The sequence below is a fragment of the Homo sapiens genome, chromosome 5 (genome assembly GCF_000001405.40).
Source record: "Homo sapiens chromosome 5, GRCh38.p14 Primary Assembly".
NCBI lineage: Eukaryota > Metazoa > Chordata > Mammalia > Primates > Hominidae > Homo > Homo sapiens.
In genome coordinates, this window is record NC_000005.10 from 6,473,667 (window position 1) to 6,490,547 (window position 16,881).

The 16,881-nt window shown below is 48.6% G+C and overlaps 1 protein-coding gene across 1 annotated transcript in view, besides 3 other annotated features; it reads left to right on the top strand.

The window, feature by feature from the left end:
* The window catches only part of UBE2QL1 (ubiquitin conjugating enzyme E2 QL1), a 47,865-nt gene that overhangs the window by 24,808 nt on the left and 6,176 nt on the right, over positions 1–16,881 (top strand). The window lies entirely within an intron of this gene.
* Positions 7,014–7,063: an enhancer, noted in NCBI's record as "active region_22331". NCBI's record gives its function as "activates an Ori minimal core promoter by ATAC-STARR-seq in GM12878 lymphoblastoid cells {active_cell/tissue: GM12878}" and the evidence as "EXISTENCE:reporter gene assay evidence [ECO:0000049][PMID:35858748]".
* Positions 10,218–10,537: an enhancer, noted in NCBI's record as "active region_22332". NCBI's record gives its function as "activates an Ori minimal core promoter by ATAC-STARR-seq in GM12878 lymphoblastoid cells {active_cell/tissue: GM12878}" and the evidence as "EXISTENCE:reporter gene assay evidence [ECO:0000049][PMID:35858748]".
* Positions 10,558–10,647: an enhancer, noted in NCBI's record as "active region_22333". NCBI's record gives its function as "activates an Ori minimal core promoter by ATAC-STARR-seq in GM12878 lymphoblastoid cells {active_cell/tissue: GM12878}" and the evidence as "EXISTENCE:reporter gene assay evidence [ECO:0000049][PMID:35858748]".

Genomic DNA, 16,881 nt, shown 5'->3' on the forward strand with positions numbered 1-16,881 from the left:
CAGAAAGTCACATCCCAGTGACGCAGAAAACCTCAGTACCGTAAGAGCCAGGCAAACAAAGCCAGCACAAAACTTATTTTTGCTGCTTCAAATATGGAGATTGAAGAAGCTTGATTTTTTGTTACCTTTGAATCTTACCACAAGCCAATGTAAATATCACAATAACAAAGCCAGGAAAATTAATCTGTAAAATTGTTCTTATGCCATTTAAAATGTCACCAAATATACCTGGGATTAACTTTTCCATTACTAGGAAAAGGGCAGTTTTGATGACTTACTTCTTAGCTCCCTTTAACATCTGATTTAGTGCCTTCCACAGTAGGCCCTCAAAAAATTATTGGCTGCAAACATAACATATTGCATACGGTCTTTTCAGTAAAATTGAAAGATTTTACTTTGAAAGTCCAGTTTCCTGAAAACATTTACCTTCTAAAAGATACTTATTGGGAAGCTGAGATCAGAATTTGAGTGCTGGCAGAAGCTTTAAGCCTGTAGGGCTAAAATGATGTTGCCTGTGCACGTGGTGTGTAGTGTACAGCCTGAGGGCTGGTACACCACGGTCTATGCCTGCATGTGGATCTTCCAGCATGGAGCACCCGTGCTTAGGAGGTTAACAACCAGGAGTACGTGCATGGCATTGGAGTGGGGCATGCTATAGCCGGAGAAGGTTGGGAAGTCCTGGCTTAGGAGACGTTATTGAAAAATTCCCAGAGCCAGCAGGGTGCTGATATTTCTTGCCAATGCTCAGACATCACAGGGCTCCAACTCCAGTGCCGGGATGAGGCTTGGGTTGGTGAGGCACTGCCTCTTCCTGCCTCTACTTCCACAGAGAAGTTACTTGCTCCTTCATTCTTCATCAATCATTTGAAAAATCCCAAGTGCATCTCCCTCCTGGGTGAGAATTAGATGACATAATGTGTAAAATACTGCGTGGGACACATTTTGGAAAATGGTAACATGCATACCATCCTTTCTTTGGAATTCTAACTGTGGCATGCGGGGGCCTTCAGACTCATAGTGATAACCCCACAGGCTTCGTCGTTCATTCCTCAGTAAATAAGCTTGAGCACCTGAGAGGGGCAGTGAGCACTTTAGTACTGGAATAATGCGTGGTGGGGCATCACCTGGAGGTTCCATCCTCACACGTGGTGAGAAGGGGCTTTGAGCACAGTCTCCAGAACCCAACTGGAGTCCCACCAGGTCACATCCCACCTCCAGCACCTGACAGCTGCATGGCATTGTGCAGTTTACATCTGTGCTTCCGTTTCTCCGTCTTGAGGAGAGGCTGGAGCAGTCTTTCCCCGATGATGACTGAGCATGTGTGTGCATGTGAAGTCCTTGTGGCAGTGACTGGCGCAGCTTTCCCTATATTCTATCATAAGATAAACAGTGAAGATTTCAAGTGACGCTTGTAAAAATCACCGATTGAATTATTTTCTTTAGCTATTATGATTCTTAATCAAAAAGCCGAGATTGTATTGCAATGCCCTTATACAAATAAAAGAATTAAAATCAGAACATCTCCCAAAGTAATGACCTAAAAGTAATAATAGCCATCCTAGTTGCTTATAGAAAATCTCTTGTTAATTTTATTAGGTCAATCAAAAGCAGTCCTTTAGTTTTCTAAGCTTTTCAACCAGAGACTAGGAATTTGAACTTAGAATCAACTTCCTCTCTTGATTACATTCTTAAGACTCTTTTACGATAATAGAACACGGCATTTTCCACAGAGATCCCGAATTTGCTTTGTCTACACTGACTAAGCTATCTTATGCCGTATCTTTGTCCCCTATTTCCTTGCAAACATAAAGTGTGTGCTGGGTTTCATTTACATCACCTGTATAACACCAGCCAGTCTGGAAAGGTGGAATGATACTGTATGGCCCTGAAATGGCTTCGGTCCATTCCTTTTATCCAGTATTTGTAGCACACTGCTGGGTGGAGTCTCACTGAGAGCTCTTAATTTAACAAGAAACCAGTGTGAGCCAAGGGAAGGGGTAGGAAGGCAGGGCCCGGGGGAAGTGTGAGCATGGGGGGTGGGGTGGGTGGTGCTGGAGGAGGCAGGGTCATTGTAAAGGGAGCATTAGACTTCAGCCTTGAAGCCGAAGCTCTGCCAGGTGCTGGAAGGGAACTGGCCCTCCAGCCTGCAGCTGGAGAGGACCCCGCCCACAAGAGACAAGCCCTGCCCCTGTGGAGCAAGCTGGAGAACCAGCTAGAGCAATGATGTGCTGGGCAGAAACGCACAGGCTCTCCAGGGCCTGGCCCCTGCTGATAGGTGCTGGATTTAACCCCAAGACCTGTCGGAAAGAATGCTTTATGAAATACACTTATTTTTTAAAGTATATTAGGATAACTTGTGATAAGTTCATCACACCCACTGAAATGGCTCAGAACACTTTCAGGACTTCAAAATCAGGGTGGGGTATGCCTGCTTAGTCATGGATGAGTATCTGGAAAGCTCAGGGAGCTTTCCAGTGGCACTGGGGCTCCCTTATTCCTAGGAGGCGGGGCCTGAGCAGGGAGGGGGTGGGGTCCCGATGTTTGTGCAGAGGAGACACCTCTGCTGCCTCTGCAGAGCCTGCACCTCAGCAGCACCTCAGGAGCAGCCAAGGCATAAAGCAGTCAACGCGGTGCCCTCAGGGCAAATGCACCAAGCATGGTTCCAGCTTATTTTGAGGTGTTTGGTTGTTAAAAGTTTTTCAGCACTTAAAGGTCTAATTTTCCCACGGGTGAAAACATCCCATTTTAAGAATGTGTTTGGAGTTTGCCCTCTGGGTCACGGGGCTGCTGGGTCAGGGTTGCTGCAGGAAGAAGCTTTGCCAGGGCTGTGCTGTCCTGACTCAATGAGACAATGACCTCAAAACGGAAACACCTGGGGGGCTCGGTTAAAGAGCCACATGCGGCACCCCTCAGGTGTACACTATTTTACCTGCTCCTAAGCTTACTATATAATATTTGTGAACTGCTGCAGAAAGCAAAGCACACTCTGCGAATGCATGGCAGGTTTGGGGCAGTACCTTTTGGTTCCTTTCATTGCCTGGAGTGACCTTTGGTCGTATCACATGAGAGATGCCCACTTGCTAATTAATGGGTTTCTTCACAGGAAAATGTAGTTGAGATTTGTAAAAACAAACGGCGTTGTCTTCACTGGACACTAGCTGCCACCAATAATGATTTGCCATTCACAAGGACAGGAGTGGCCCCCTCTTGGCATAGAGAGAGTGGAAACATCCCCTTCCCCTTGGAAACCAGACCCAAACTCCAGGGACCCCGAAATTCCCACCTTCACCCCATCCTCCCCAGGATGGCCCACATGGAAGCCCACAGACCACCAGCCCACACCAGTGCTGGAGGTCCACAGTCACATGAGGGTGCCCTGGGGAGGGACAGGGGCAGGAAGTAGGACCCTCTACACACCCCCATGCCTACACCAGCGCCCACACTCTCAGGGCCAGTGATCACCATGACACTGTCTCAAACAGCCCACCTTGTGTGCTTCTCCATCCTGACCTCCACGTGCCCCCCAGGCCTCACTGGGCCTCACAAACTGACCTTTGGCCTGGCCGTGACCTCCTCCCAGTCACCCTGCCACCATTGCAGACCAAGTCGCCATTTTAGTCATGCCAAAGATTCTTGGTGAATTGCACACGGAGCACAACTCCTTGCACTGAAGGTCAGCCTGCTGAGGACAGGTGTGCGTGGAGGTCAGCCTGCTGAGGACAGGTGTGCCCGGAGGTCAGCCTGCTGACAGGTGCGCCCGGAGATCAGCCTGCTGAGGATAGGTGTGCCCGGAGGCCCTACAACCACCACCCCCACCACCAAAACCCAAGGCTGGACCTGGTGACATTCCAGACTTTAAGGAAATGGTTGACTAGAAGTCAGTGGGGCTTTGTTCAAAATAAAGAGGTTAAAAGAGAGACCATTTAGGCAGAAAGTTGATGAGCTGGATCTTACAACATCCACATGGAGACAGCAGCTGCTGGCCTGGTGGAAGTGTCCAGCAGGACGCGGGTGTGTGGAACTGGCATTTGGGTGGCAGGGAGAGGCTGCAGGCGGGAATTTCAAGAGTTCCCCCATGTGGCACGTGTAAGCCAAAGACCAAGTGGGCTGTTGACCAAATCTGGGTGGTTCTTTGGAAACAAATTGCATATGCAAGGCTGTTCCAGGAGGTTTCATCCATATCCCATATCGCACAAGTTGCAGCTTCACTCAGTGCCTCAAGAAAGCAAGCCAGACAAAAGACAGACCTGGTGTCTCCCCAGAAACCACCCTCCTAGAATAAAGTCAAATACCTGCTTGGCAGGTATTGGGGATCTCTAGGGGCATAAATTAAATCTCACATCTTTATGAGCACAATTCCTTCTTTTAAAAATCAGAAAAGTAACAAAGTAGGTGAAGTAAATAATCCATGTAGAGTCTTATTATTGCTGTGCTTTATTGCAAAAACAGACTATTTGAGAAAGTAACCTATCTTTTATAGAGTTTGTGCCCAGATCATATTTTCACACGGAAATTTTACCTGAAAATATATCTGAAGACTTCCAGTGGTTCCAAAATCTCATTTACTTTATTTTTTGACATTGCTGAATTTCCTTCTGCATTGTGAAACTCTAGTGCTGAGCATGCTGTATGACATGAGCTTTCTCTGTCATTGTAAGTAACATGGCTTGGAAAGAGACCACAGCCGTGAACTGCCACCATCAAGCGCAAAGCCTCCCTGAAGCCACCTCAGCAGTGAAAGCACCAGGCGCCATTTACCTGGGTTGTCTGTGAAAATCACGCGTTCCTTCTTGATGCAATATTTCTAGAACAACTAAGTTTGGGCTTTTTGGTCAAAGTCGTGAAGCTCCTGCTAGCAGGGCAGACAGCGAATGGTGGCTGCCTCTGTTTTGACAAATTCATTCCCAGGCTCTGATTCCTGTCACATTTCCTAGTGACATTCTTGGTCTCTTTCGGTTTTTTTTTTTTTGGACTTTAACAGCATCGCCGTACCTACTATCTGTGCTGAGAGAACTGTTCCGCAGCAAGGCTGGGCCATAGCAGTTGTGAAATGAAGTGTCCTGATCACCCAATGGCACGGGTGATCAAAGCCACAGCAGACCACAGGCAAGGGCTTAGGGCTGCAGGTGGATGATCTCCTGCGCACGTGGGAGAGTGATCCTAGGACGTGCAGATGCATTCTGTCAGGAAACAGGCAAAAGGCAGGAGACATGGAGAGTGGGTGCCCATCGGTGCATCTGATCTCCCTGGCACCCCTCCACTCCCCTCTGCTTCCTTCCTGCTCAGGGGCTTCATCCTTCCTAGGAGTGAGGAAGGCCAGGCCTCATGACAGAGCTGCCTGCCCTGGGGGCGTCCCTTCTATCGTGTGCAGCATCAGGAGTCTGTTGGATCCCCAGTGCCTCATCCTGAAATCAGGGAGGCGTGGCAGGGTGGAGGCAGCCGTGGGCATCTAGGGACACACAGCACGGGAGGCCACAGAGCTGAGTGAGCAGAGTCCCACCTGCCGGAACAAGAGGGCGAAAGTGAGAATTAAGCCACCGAGAATGGGTGGGCTGAGATAGCGATGGGGCCCTGGATTCTCTTCCTGTTCAGTATGTGTTCCAAGAAGAAGGAAAAACATGGAACGCTGAGGAAGACCAACTGTGCAGGGAAAAGAGCTGGCCGGATTGTGATCTAAGAGGTCAAGTTGGGTAGGAGAACACCATTGTTTCTTGCAGGTCACTCACTGAGCGTAGGAGCAGACAGAGCTGACTTCAACTTAGGGGCGACTTCAGTAAGAAAGTGGGGGGTCTCTGGGGCTAGTCAGGGAAATGTGTGCCTTAATGGAGCCAAGTCCAAGGAGTAAAATGTTGAAGCAAATGAAGAGGTGCTGATGTCTGTATCCTCCGGTGAGTCTGTCCATCATAAAAAGGGCAGAGGCTGTGCTCATTAAGACTTTCCAGAATCCTCTGTGAAGACAGCTGGAATGATCTCACAAGGAGAAAACACAGACCGGGGGTCTCCTTTGTGCTGAGTAAGTGTTTCGGCCTTGAGAGTGGAGTGCAGCATCCTGGGTGCGGCCCAAGAAAAGCAGCTTCCTTTTGCATTCTGGTCCTGGCCAAAATGACAAACACAGACTGCCCCCATCATCTCGGGACAGAGACTCACCAGGGAGGTCACCCACCCTGTTCACCACGTCAGGCAGGTAGCGTGTGCCGAGGCCCCCACATGTGCTGCAAAGACCAGAATGTACGTAGTAAAGGTAGACTCAGGGCCCTGATCATCTCGGGGCTTACATAAACCATGTGGCAAATGACAGGATGGCTGGCCAGGAGCTCCCTGTTGAGATGACATTGAGAGAGACACAGGTAATTGGTGGCCAAGGAGCATCCAGTGCCAGGGGGCACAGCCAGGCGGGTCACTTTTTTCGTTTGTGTTTGTTTGTTTGTTTGAGTGAATGGTCAGTATCTTGTTTGCCTTCTCTTACATCTGTGACCCTTCCGCACGTTTCTGAGAGCTGGCCTGGCCTTGGGGTTCAGAGTGTGGCCTCCAAAGCCAGGAATTCCTGCACTGGGATCCTGGCCCTTGGCCACTTCCTAGCTGAGTGACTCCAAGCACCTTATTGATCTGTGTGTCTCCATTTTCTCGTCTGTAAAATAGACCTGATGACAGCAGACCCCACCTGCTGGAGTGTCTCAGTATGGTTCAGTGAGAGTGTTTGCCCCATCTTGAGAACAGGGCCTGGCTCAGACAGCCCTCGACACAGTCGACACAGCCACCACGATGTCACTAATGAGCGTATCTGTCACTTACCTGTCTTAAAGTGCACATTAATGAAACCCACTGGGATCCGGCTGCCTATGCAAAAGTATAAGTATTAGTGGGATCTCCAAAAAATAACCTTGAGAGGATTATCTCATATCATTACATTTTTAGCAAAAAGTTCCTTTTTCTGCGCTTGCTTCCTCCAAGAAAGTACCATCTGTTTCAAAACAGTTCAGTAATTGCTAGTACTTTCTTTAAAATGTAGAGGCAAGTGCTGCTTCTGTTTTGTAAGCGCCCATGAACTGTGCCTTTGGTGCTGCCAGAGCTGGAGGATTTTGTATAGTATTAAGTAGAGTGGCTTCGCTTTAATTCCTTATGAGTATCACCAAAGTATACACGAAACCGATGCTGGCTTTGTCATCCTGAGAGGTTTCACAGTTTTAAGAAAGAGTTTCTGAGTGCCGGCATTTCCTAATACCCTGCTTGACGTCTGTGGGGTGGCAAGCATTTCATAAACCTCTGGGGGTTACAGGTTGCTCTCTTTGGACTTGTTCATGGCTAAGCTACACTTTTTTAAAGAACCAGATTTTTCTTAATGTGTAAAGAGTGCTAAAAAATAAGGTCAATAGGAGTTTTTAAGGTTTTGATAGTATTATAAACCAAGTAACCATCACACATCTCAGATGACTGTTTTTCAAGAGTTGGCCCGGAGCGTGCTTCTCGGGCCATTTCACCTGTGCACGCTTCGTTGTGGCTGCACCTGCCCTAATTCCCCGTTTCTAGATTTCCTGCTTCTCCTCTTGACTGTCCCCAGCCAAACACACCCATCCTCCCAGGACCCCACAGCCTGCTCCTAAGACAGCGTCTCTCTCTGCAGGCCTGGCCCCGGGTCACTTGGCATGGTGGCCCACCACCTCCATCCCATCTCGCCTTGCACGCCAGGTGCTCATTATCCCCATGCAGGAGGTGAGGGCGGGTAGTGACATGGGTGCAGCGGCTAGGTGCAGGGAGGGTGACCTGCTCACGGGCCTATGGCTAGAGAGCAGAGAGGGGGCACGCTCCCCTCCCCGCACACCTCTCCCTGCAGAACCACATCATTTAGGTTCCCTGGTGTGAGCTCCCACCACTATACCCAGCAGCCTCCTGCCTGGATTTCTGTGCACACCTCAAAGCCAGCCAACCCAAACAGAACTCAGTATCTTATCCTAGAAACCTGTTCCTCCTGGGTCAGAAGCCTGGAGTGGCTCGGGCCTCCCACTGATCCTTCCCCCAGCCTTGCCCACATGACCTTAGTTGGACTCACTGAGTGGCCTCTGCCAGGCCCTCGCCATCTTCTCTGGACCATGACAATAACCTAACTGGACAACACCCCAAAACTGACCGCCATACCACCTCCCAAATGACCATCCACAAGGAAAACATGGCCCAATGTGCGCCCACCTGCAGAATGGGTGCAAGTGCTGAGGTACAGGTGAAAGGCCTCTCTGTCAGCTTTATGCCTGCCGTGGGCAGAGTTATGTCCTCCCCAAAATAGTTGAAGTCCTACCCCCTGTGGCTGTGAATGTGACCTTATTTGAAAATAGGGCCTTTGCAGAAGTCATTGAGTTGAGAGGAGGTCTTGCTGGGTTAGGGTGGTCCCTAATCCAATGACTGGTGTCACTGTAAGAAGAGGGAGATTTGGATACAGAGACAGATTCACAGAGAACACCGTATGGCAATGGAGGCAGAGATTAGAGCGCTGTGCCAACAGGCTGAGGCACACAAGGGTGCTGGCAGCCCCTGAGCGCTGGAACAGAGTCCTGGAGCAGACCCTCCCCTGGGCCCTCATCTCCATGTCAGACTTCTGGCCACCTGAACTGTGAGAGAGCATATTTCTGTTGTTTCAAGCCCCCAGTTGGAGTGCTGTGTTCCAGCAGGCCCAAGAAACTAAGGCACCTCCCATCCCTGCCTCGCCCACCTCCACCCCCCAGCAAGCTCTGACTCCCGGAAGCCTCAGGATGCTCACTGCCCACCCTCACGTGGCGTCTGCTCCTGCTGCCCCCTCTCCTGCTTTCTGGTTGGATCATTGCCACTTGTCTTTTGCGTTCAGCTCCTGAACCACCTTCCCCTGGAAGTTTCCTCCACTCGTCTGGGCCCCCAGCCCCTTTAGGTACCCCCTCCTGCACTCCCACAGTCCACTCTAGAGCACGGCTTCTCCACAGGGCTATTCAGCCCCCTAGGGAGTGCTTGGCAATAGGCAGAGACATTTTTGGTTGCCACCACTCGGGAGAGGGGTACTAATGGCATTCAGAGAATGGAGGCCAGGAGGCTGCTGAACAGCCTCAGTGCACACGGCTGGGAACGACCCAGGGAGGCTGCTCAACACTCTGCGGTGCACATGGTCAGGAATGACCCAGGGAAGCTGCTGAACACCCTTAGTGCACAGGAGCGCCCAAGCTGGGGATGATCCAGCTCCAGCGTCAGCAGGGCCCAAGCAGAGGCACTCTCATCTAGAGGACACCTGCTCCTGCAGAGATGCCAGATGTTTTCATCTTGTCTCCCAGCTCCAAGTGGGAAAACTGCACATCCGTGGTTGCGCACCACCCACCACGCCAGCAAGGCCTCCCTGCTGCGAGTCCAACACACTCTGATCAGACCAATGCTCTTGTCAGCACCCAAAGAAGAAAAGACATGCTTACTGTATTCTGTACACTCTCTTCCACGTCTTGATAGGCTCAAACACGCCTTTAAAAATGAGAGCCCTGGCCAGGTGCGGTGGCTCATGCCTGTAATCCCAGCACTTTGGGAGGCCGAGGCGGGTGGATCACTCAAGGTCAGGAGTTCAAGACTCACCTGGCCAACATGGTGAAACCCCGTCTCTACTGAAAATACAAAAAAAATTAACAGGGCGTGGTGGTGCAGGCCTGTAATCCCAGCTACTTGGGAGGCTGAAGCAGGAGAATCACTTGGACCTGGGAGGCGGAGGTTGCAGTGAGCCAAGATCGTGCCACTGCACTCCAGCCTGGGTGACAGAGTGAGACTCTGTCTAAAATAAGAAAAAAAAAAAAATGAGGAGCCCACAGATGTGATGCACGGCAGGTGTGTTTGGAGTGAAGGATCGTGTTCCCTGCATGTCAGCAGGGCGCAGCCAGCCTTCTTCCTGAGGACACCGCATCACCTGCTGGGACTCTGCTCGCCTCTCCTGGACACGCACAGCCCTTCCGTCCCAGTTCCAGGCCTGGAAACATTCTCGCTAGAGAGAGAAATTTTACTGTAATAAGAATGGGTTTCCCAGTGCATTTTTTCTGCAGAAACTACATATCTCTATCAAAGTGGGAGCAGGGCCATGGAGGAGAGTCGTCATTTCCACTAAAGCCACGCCAAGGGCTGGTTCCCTTGTGGCTGATCCCTGTGTGGCTGGTCCATGTAGCCATGTGGCCCCTCGTGCCCCACCACCCAATGCACTGTCCTCTATGCCCTCAGATCTGGTGGGATGTTCTAGTCATCTACTTTGTGAAGCCACTTCTCTGGTCGCCTGTATGTGTTTGGCTTGGGCGTGAGTCAACAGGTCTCTGGGGCAAACAGTGCATTCTGAAAGTGTAACCGAAAGATCAGGTTTATGGCTTCTGAGGTGACTATTTTGAGTTGGTACTTTCCAGAAACCATTCAACACATTTTTTAGCTACCAGATCTGGGAACTAAATCACAGCTAGTCATGGGGGATGCATATGAATGAGTCTGCTGTTGGTGTCTGAACGATGAAAGGAACCCCAAGCCATATTGGGCACAAACTTTGAGTGAAACCCAACAGGGAGCGCAGAAGCCTGAGTGGCCCATGTTGGCGTCGGAGGGGCAGCGAGCAGGGAGGGCTGGTCTGCATACTCCAAGTCCTGGTTTCCTGGAGGAAGTCGCCCAGCCTGTGTGGCTGCCTCCAGCCCTTTCCCTGAGGATTCTGGGCCCCTCCTCAGGCCCTGGCCCTGAGGCTGCCTGTCTTTGGTCTTGCCCCTCATGGCACCCTCAGGCCACACGCATGCTCTTCTGCGGTGCCTCTGCCTTCAGTCTCGGGAGTCCTTGATTCGAACCCAGCTCTTCTATAGCCCTTGGCAAGTCAGTTAATGGAAGCCCAGTTTCCTACTCGTTGCAAAGGTTGCCCAGGTCAACATTTAATGAGATGAGATGTGAAAACAGCCAGGCAGCAGTCGCACATCAGAGTCGAGCTGAGCACGGAGCAGTCACCGTGGCACTTGCGGACGGTGTGGGGACTCAGCAGTCTCCCGGGTTGCACTTCAGACAAAACCTCAACATGACCTCACTGGCGGCTCATCAGCTCCAACAGCATGTTCCCACCCTGTCTTTCTCCCCCTCCCCTGTTTCTGCTCTCCCAGCCCTCTCTGCTTGTTCCCTCCCTGCACTGGTTAGTGCTGGGTCGGGTTCTGACAGATTCGGAACCCACCAGGCTGAAGCTCTCCCTGTGCAAAGGGACCACCCATTAAACTGGCTCATGTGGCCTGGGGCTCCCTCCACTCAGCCAAGAGCCTTCCCTCAGGTTACTGTGGGCTCTAGTCAGCAGCCATTCCACAGCAGGGAGGCTCACATCGGTCCCTGCAGTTTGAATGTAACCACCATAGCCACCTGCATGTGCACACATGGACACACATGCTCACATGTGACACGATACATGTGTATAAGTACCCACAAACACACAAATGAACACACGTGCACACATACACAAATGCATATGTATGTACATGCATTACTCGTGCACATGCTCACATATGCACACACACACCCCCAGGCTCACAATAAGGGCTATATTCACCTTCTCTGGATCCTTCTGTTTCCTGTCTCATCCGACTAGATCCAGCTGAAGTCCCCTGCTTGTCAGTGGCTTCAGTGTCATTGATCTGATTTGGGAATGTGTTTCTTAGAAGAGTCTGATCTGTTGTAGAGTCTCATTTGTCCTTTAGAAACTTACAAGTTGATTTTTTTCTAGGATTTGCTTTGAACATTAAACCTTAAGAGAAAGGTGAAATCCCCAATGTCTTTCCAAAGCGGACCTCCTTTGAAAGATGCTTGTAAGCATTGGTTTTCCTCAAGCCAAGAGCCTAGTGAGCTTTAATTTTTGCCCCCAGATAGAAGTTTTAGGGGAAACCTAAAATGAGTCTTGCACACGTTTACAACCCATGTCAGGGAGCTTAAGGTTACGAGTGCTTTTAGACTGACAATTACTCCTTCAAAGACTTGAAAAACAAGTAGCAGCTCTGTAATTTTGGCTCAGGAAATGAGTGCAGGAAACTCAAAACTTTACGTAAGCAGTCTGAAAATTTTAACTATTTTTAGAGGGCAAAAGTCTGTAATTCATAGGCAAATGAAACACAAAAATACCAAGAAAGTATGTTTGCAAAGAAAAGGAATGAGAGAAAAAGCTAATCAAGTAAGTATAGAATTAATGTATTAATGTCAACCTGTTAAGACAGACATAATTCAAAAGGCTAAGAAATTAGCTATGTAAATGCAATATACTGAATTTGCCTGTGGACATTTTTGTGACTGAATACGTCATAAAATCTACATGAAAAGACAGAAATATGGTGTATTCTTTCAAGAGAACAGAATGAAACTATCTTTACCAAAGGAGAAGATCTTCCGTGATAGCTGAAAAAATAAGAAGCCCCATTTATTGTGTTCACCCTGTGCCTGGCATTGGGCAAAGCATCTTTTATGTTTTAACATATTAAATTCTTATAGAATCCAATGCCACATAATACTATTATAATGCTTATTTTACATATGAGAAAATCGACATTCAGAGAGGTTAAGTGATTCACCCAAGGTCACACAGCCAGGAAGTATTGGAGCTGGGATTTGAAGCCAGGTCTACTGAATTATGCAACTCCTTCCCCACCAAATACACACACAAGCACACACACACACAAGCACACACACACACAAACACACACACACACTTAAATTCCATGCCCAAGCCTCCCCCTCCCCCAAGCATAGTGAGCCATTTCACACCTTCAATTTGGGACCCCTTGTCCTCTCCCACCACAGCCTGGTAAACACCTGCCCACCTATGTCTCAAGGCTTAGCTTACGTTATTGTCAACAGAAATCTTTCTGAACACACAAATCACTGCCACCACCCCTCTTCTCTCTCCTTTCTTTCTCTCTTCCCCAGTGTAGAATCCGTCATACTGTCTGGGTTATAAGTTCCATAAGGAGCAGAATTATTTTCCTTAGAAAGCTCTGAAGTCCCGGTCACCAGCACAGTTCCTGACACAGGGAAGACCTGCAGCAATCGTCTGCTGAATGAATAAAGAATGAATTGACTCTTCCTGCCTCTGGCTCTTTTAGTTCTACACACCAGTTGTTCTCAATCAGGAGTGGTTTTGCTCCTGTGGGGACGTTTAACAATGTCTGGAAACAATTTCTGTCATTACTCATGGGGTGCCACTAGCATCTAGTGGGTAAAGGTCAAGGATGCTGCTAACTTCCTTCCATGCAGGTATAGCCCCTACAGCAAAGAATTACCTGGCCCAAGATGCCAACAATACCAAGAGTGAGAGACCCTGCCTGCTCCACACCCTCTGTCCCAACAGCTGCAACATGCCTGGTTATCCGCCCACAGTGGACTCTAAGCCCTAAAGGCAGAGACCTGGCATCACTTTGTCTTGTTTGACCCAGCACCTAACACATTGAATGAATGCATAAATGAATGAATGAGAAGCATTAGACAATTAAGGAAGATGCAGACGTGCCAGGCTGAAATTCAATTACATGGGGGCCGAACTGGGGAGTTAAGTTTGGGGCCACTTGTCATCTTATTAGCTGTGTTGAAATGTTTTCATGCTGCATCATTGCTATTGGCCCTCAAAAGGCCATAAGGGAAAAAAAGAATCAAATCAAAATACCACCTACTGGTTTTGTTTGACAGATGCAGCCCTGGAGAATTGTATTCTCATTAACACTGTTCGACTTCTGTATTACAATGAGACTTTTAAGGTGGTGATGGCAAAATCCTGTAGTTGTTCATAAATATACACTTAACCATGTGTGGCTCAGGAAAGAGAGGAAGTGTTGCTGTAAACTCTGAGTGATAACACAAAGCTGTTGTAGTGGATGAGTGAAGAGTCACATCTATGCCTTTTAACATTAAGAACAAGTAGAGATATTTTAGAAGAAATGAGAGTTATTCAAAGGAAATATCTCAGACTAGATTCTTTGATTATTAGTTAAATAGAAACAGACAAGGGAGAAAGGTAAATGTTATGAGAATAAGAAAAACGCTGTTAATTGTATGAAGTTCAAAGTCCTCAGTATTTTCAAATGCATTATCTTACTGGATGTTCGTCATGATGTGTGACATGGGTATCGTCTGCACTTGATTCCCAGAAGTTCACATTTCAAGAGACTGTATCCTGGAAGGATGAATGGCAATTCCCAAAGACCTGCAGCAAGCAGGGAACACGGGATGGAGGGGTCCCCCCTCTTCTTGGTGCAGTGGGCACAGCAAGGGCATGTCAGAAAAACGGCTCTGTGACCCTGGCAGAGCCAGGAAATAAAGGGGGAATGCAGGGAGTGGCTTCCAAGTCCAGCATTTCACTGTGTCGTATTTAAACAGCCAGTCAGAAGATGAACCTATGAAAAAAAAACTGTTAATTGTAAACGTGGGTGTAAGAGACAGGAGATGCGATGAGAGCTCCTTATCACAGTGTAGTGCAATAAATGCGCTGAGCCTCTGACTGGCTCATAACGGGCTCTGTCTCCCAGCTGTGGAATTGACTAAGCACTAGGGCTTTCTGTTCATAATTCTTCCAGGGAAGAAAAGGCAACAAAGAGTGGTCTGTTCCTCTGGGGTTTTGTTTGTTGTTTCTTGTAACAATTGAGACTTTCACAAAGAATAGGCAAAGTGTGGGTTCATGCCAAAAACCACAGAATAGTCCAGGATGACTGTGAGCCTCTATTGGTCTAGCTACCTTTAGTTCAGGATTTTCAAATAATACCATAGATTTTCAGTATTGTGGAGAAAAAGGATACAGATGGTTAAAATATGCATTTTCGCCAAAAAAAAAAAAAAATCAACCCTTGATATTTGCTGTCACTTGATGTAGAAATTGATGCTGGCCGGGCACACTGGCTAACGCCTATAATCCTAACACTGAGAAATCAAGGTAGGAGGATTGCTTGAGCCCAGGAGTTCGAGACCAGCCTGGGCAACAAAACGATACCCTGTCTCTATAAAAAAAATTTTTTTAACTGGCTGTATGTGGTGATGCATGCCTGTAGCACCAACTACCTGGGAGGCTGAGGCAGGAGGATCTCTTGAGCCCAGGAGATCAAGGTTGCACTGAGCTATAATTGTACCACTGCACTCCAGTCTGGATGGATGACAGAGTGAGACTCTGTCTCAAGAAAAAAAAAAAGAAGAAATTGATGCTAACATCCTCGCAAAGATGTGAAAGATGTGTTTTCATATGTTTAATAAGATAACTTTGGACTTTGATCTCAGCCCACAATTATGATGATTATGAATATATTAGCTCTGAGTGGTCTCTTTTTATCAAGCATAATTACATCGCATAAGCAAATATGCTTGAAGTTATAAAACTCAAAATAGGAGTCAATCCTAGTGAGGCATGGGGATGTTGCTAGCAGTCAATAAATGGCCATTTCCTGTCATCTTTTCCTCCGATCTTCCTTCATCCTTTTAGCAACTCTTCCTATGTGAGTTATACAGCGTTTTCAAAAAGGTGTGCATCGTGGCACATGCCTGTAATCCCAGCACTTTGGGAGGCTGAGGTGGAAGGATCACTTGAGACCAGGAGTCCAAGACCAGCCTGGGCAATATAGTGAGACCCCATCTCTATAAAAAATAAAAAATTAGATAAATGTGGTGGCTCACACCTGTAGTCCTAGGTACTCAGAAGGCTGAGGCAGGAGGATTGTTTGAGCCCAGGAGTTTGAGGTTGCTGTGAGCTACGATCGCGCCACTGCACTCCAGCCTGGATGACAGAGCAAGATCCTGTCTGTAAAAAAAAAAAAGAAAAAGAAAAATTTTTTAAAAAAGGAAAAGGTTCTGCTGCCCCCAGTGACAGATGCACAAGTGAAACCAGAGGGATATCCAGAGCAGGCAGAGTTTGGTAACCCTGGACTCCTGACTCCTCAACTATGGATTGGCCTGTGTGTCCACTGTTGAAAAGACAATTATTGAAAAGGAAGCCTAGGTAGGCTCCGAATACAAGCATATGAAATGGCCTCTTCCACTCCACGTTTCAGGTGGTTGGGCACCGTCTGCCCAGTAGATTTAGAGGCCATTGCAGCTGCCTTCCCACTGGAGTTGTCAGTGAGTTATCAGAGAGCCAGGATCAGGTGGATCGTGCTTGCTGGTGGCCACACAGACCCATATGGCTTCTGCCCTCTATGGCTGTCCAAGGCACCTGGCTGCTGTGTGTTGTAGGAGCTGCTGGTGGGGAGGCCTGGTCCCCATTCACATCCCAGTACGTGCCCACAGTTGTGCTGTAGCACCAGTGCCCCGAATTGGAAGTGCAGAGGGTCTGTTCAGAGAGAAATTCTGTTCGCGAAGGTTCCTGAACAGCAGGCGATGGTTGGTAATTATGCGCCTGCCAGTACATAAAGCTCAGCCAGTTCTTTCCAGGCATTTCTGCCCCATCTGCAAAACATGTACATGGGATGCCCAAGGAGAGGAGCAGATCTTCCAGGAGAGCCTGGGGGAGGTTAAGTGGAAGGAAATGTGCCTCAGAGGCTAAGGGAACGTTTCAGTTGATCCACCATTAAGAGGCTTAATGAAGAGTAATTGAGGCTGGAAGTGTGAGAGCTGCCACAGGTCCAACTGAGGCCAGCATCACCCCGACTCCTGGTTGTCTTCCATCTGCTCCTCCCCTCTGATGCCAGATATTCCACATTTGCCAGGGCTTCCCAAGATATTGTCACATGGGCAGTGTTGCCTGGTTTCTTCTTCTGCATAGTCCAGAGCCGTCTTGTGCCGTCATAAGATGGGTCAGTCCCTTTTGACCACTGCAGAGACAAGTGCTCTGTCCTTGGGAGCAGAACACGCCTGGTCACTGTGAGGGAGCGTGGCCCTCTTCACTGGCCCCACCCCCTCCCGGGATCGTGTGACAAAGCACCTGCCCTG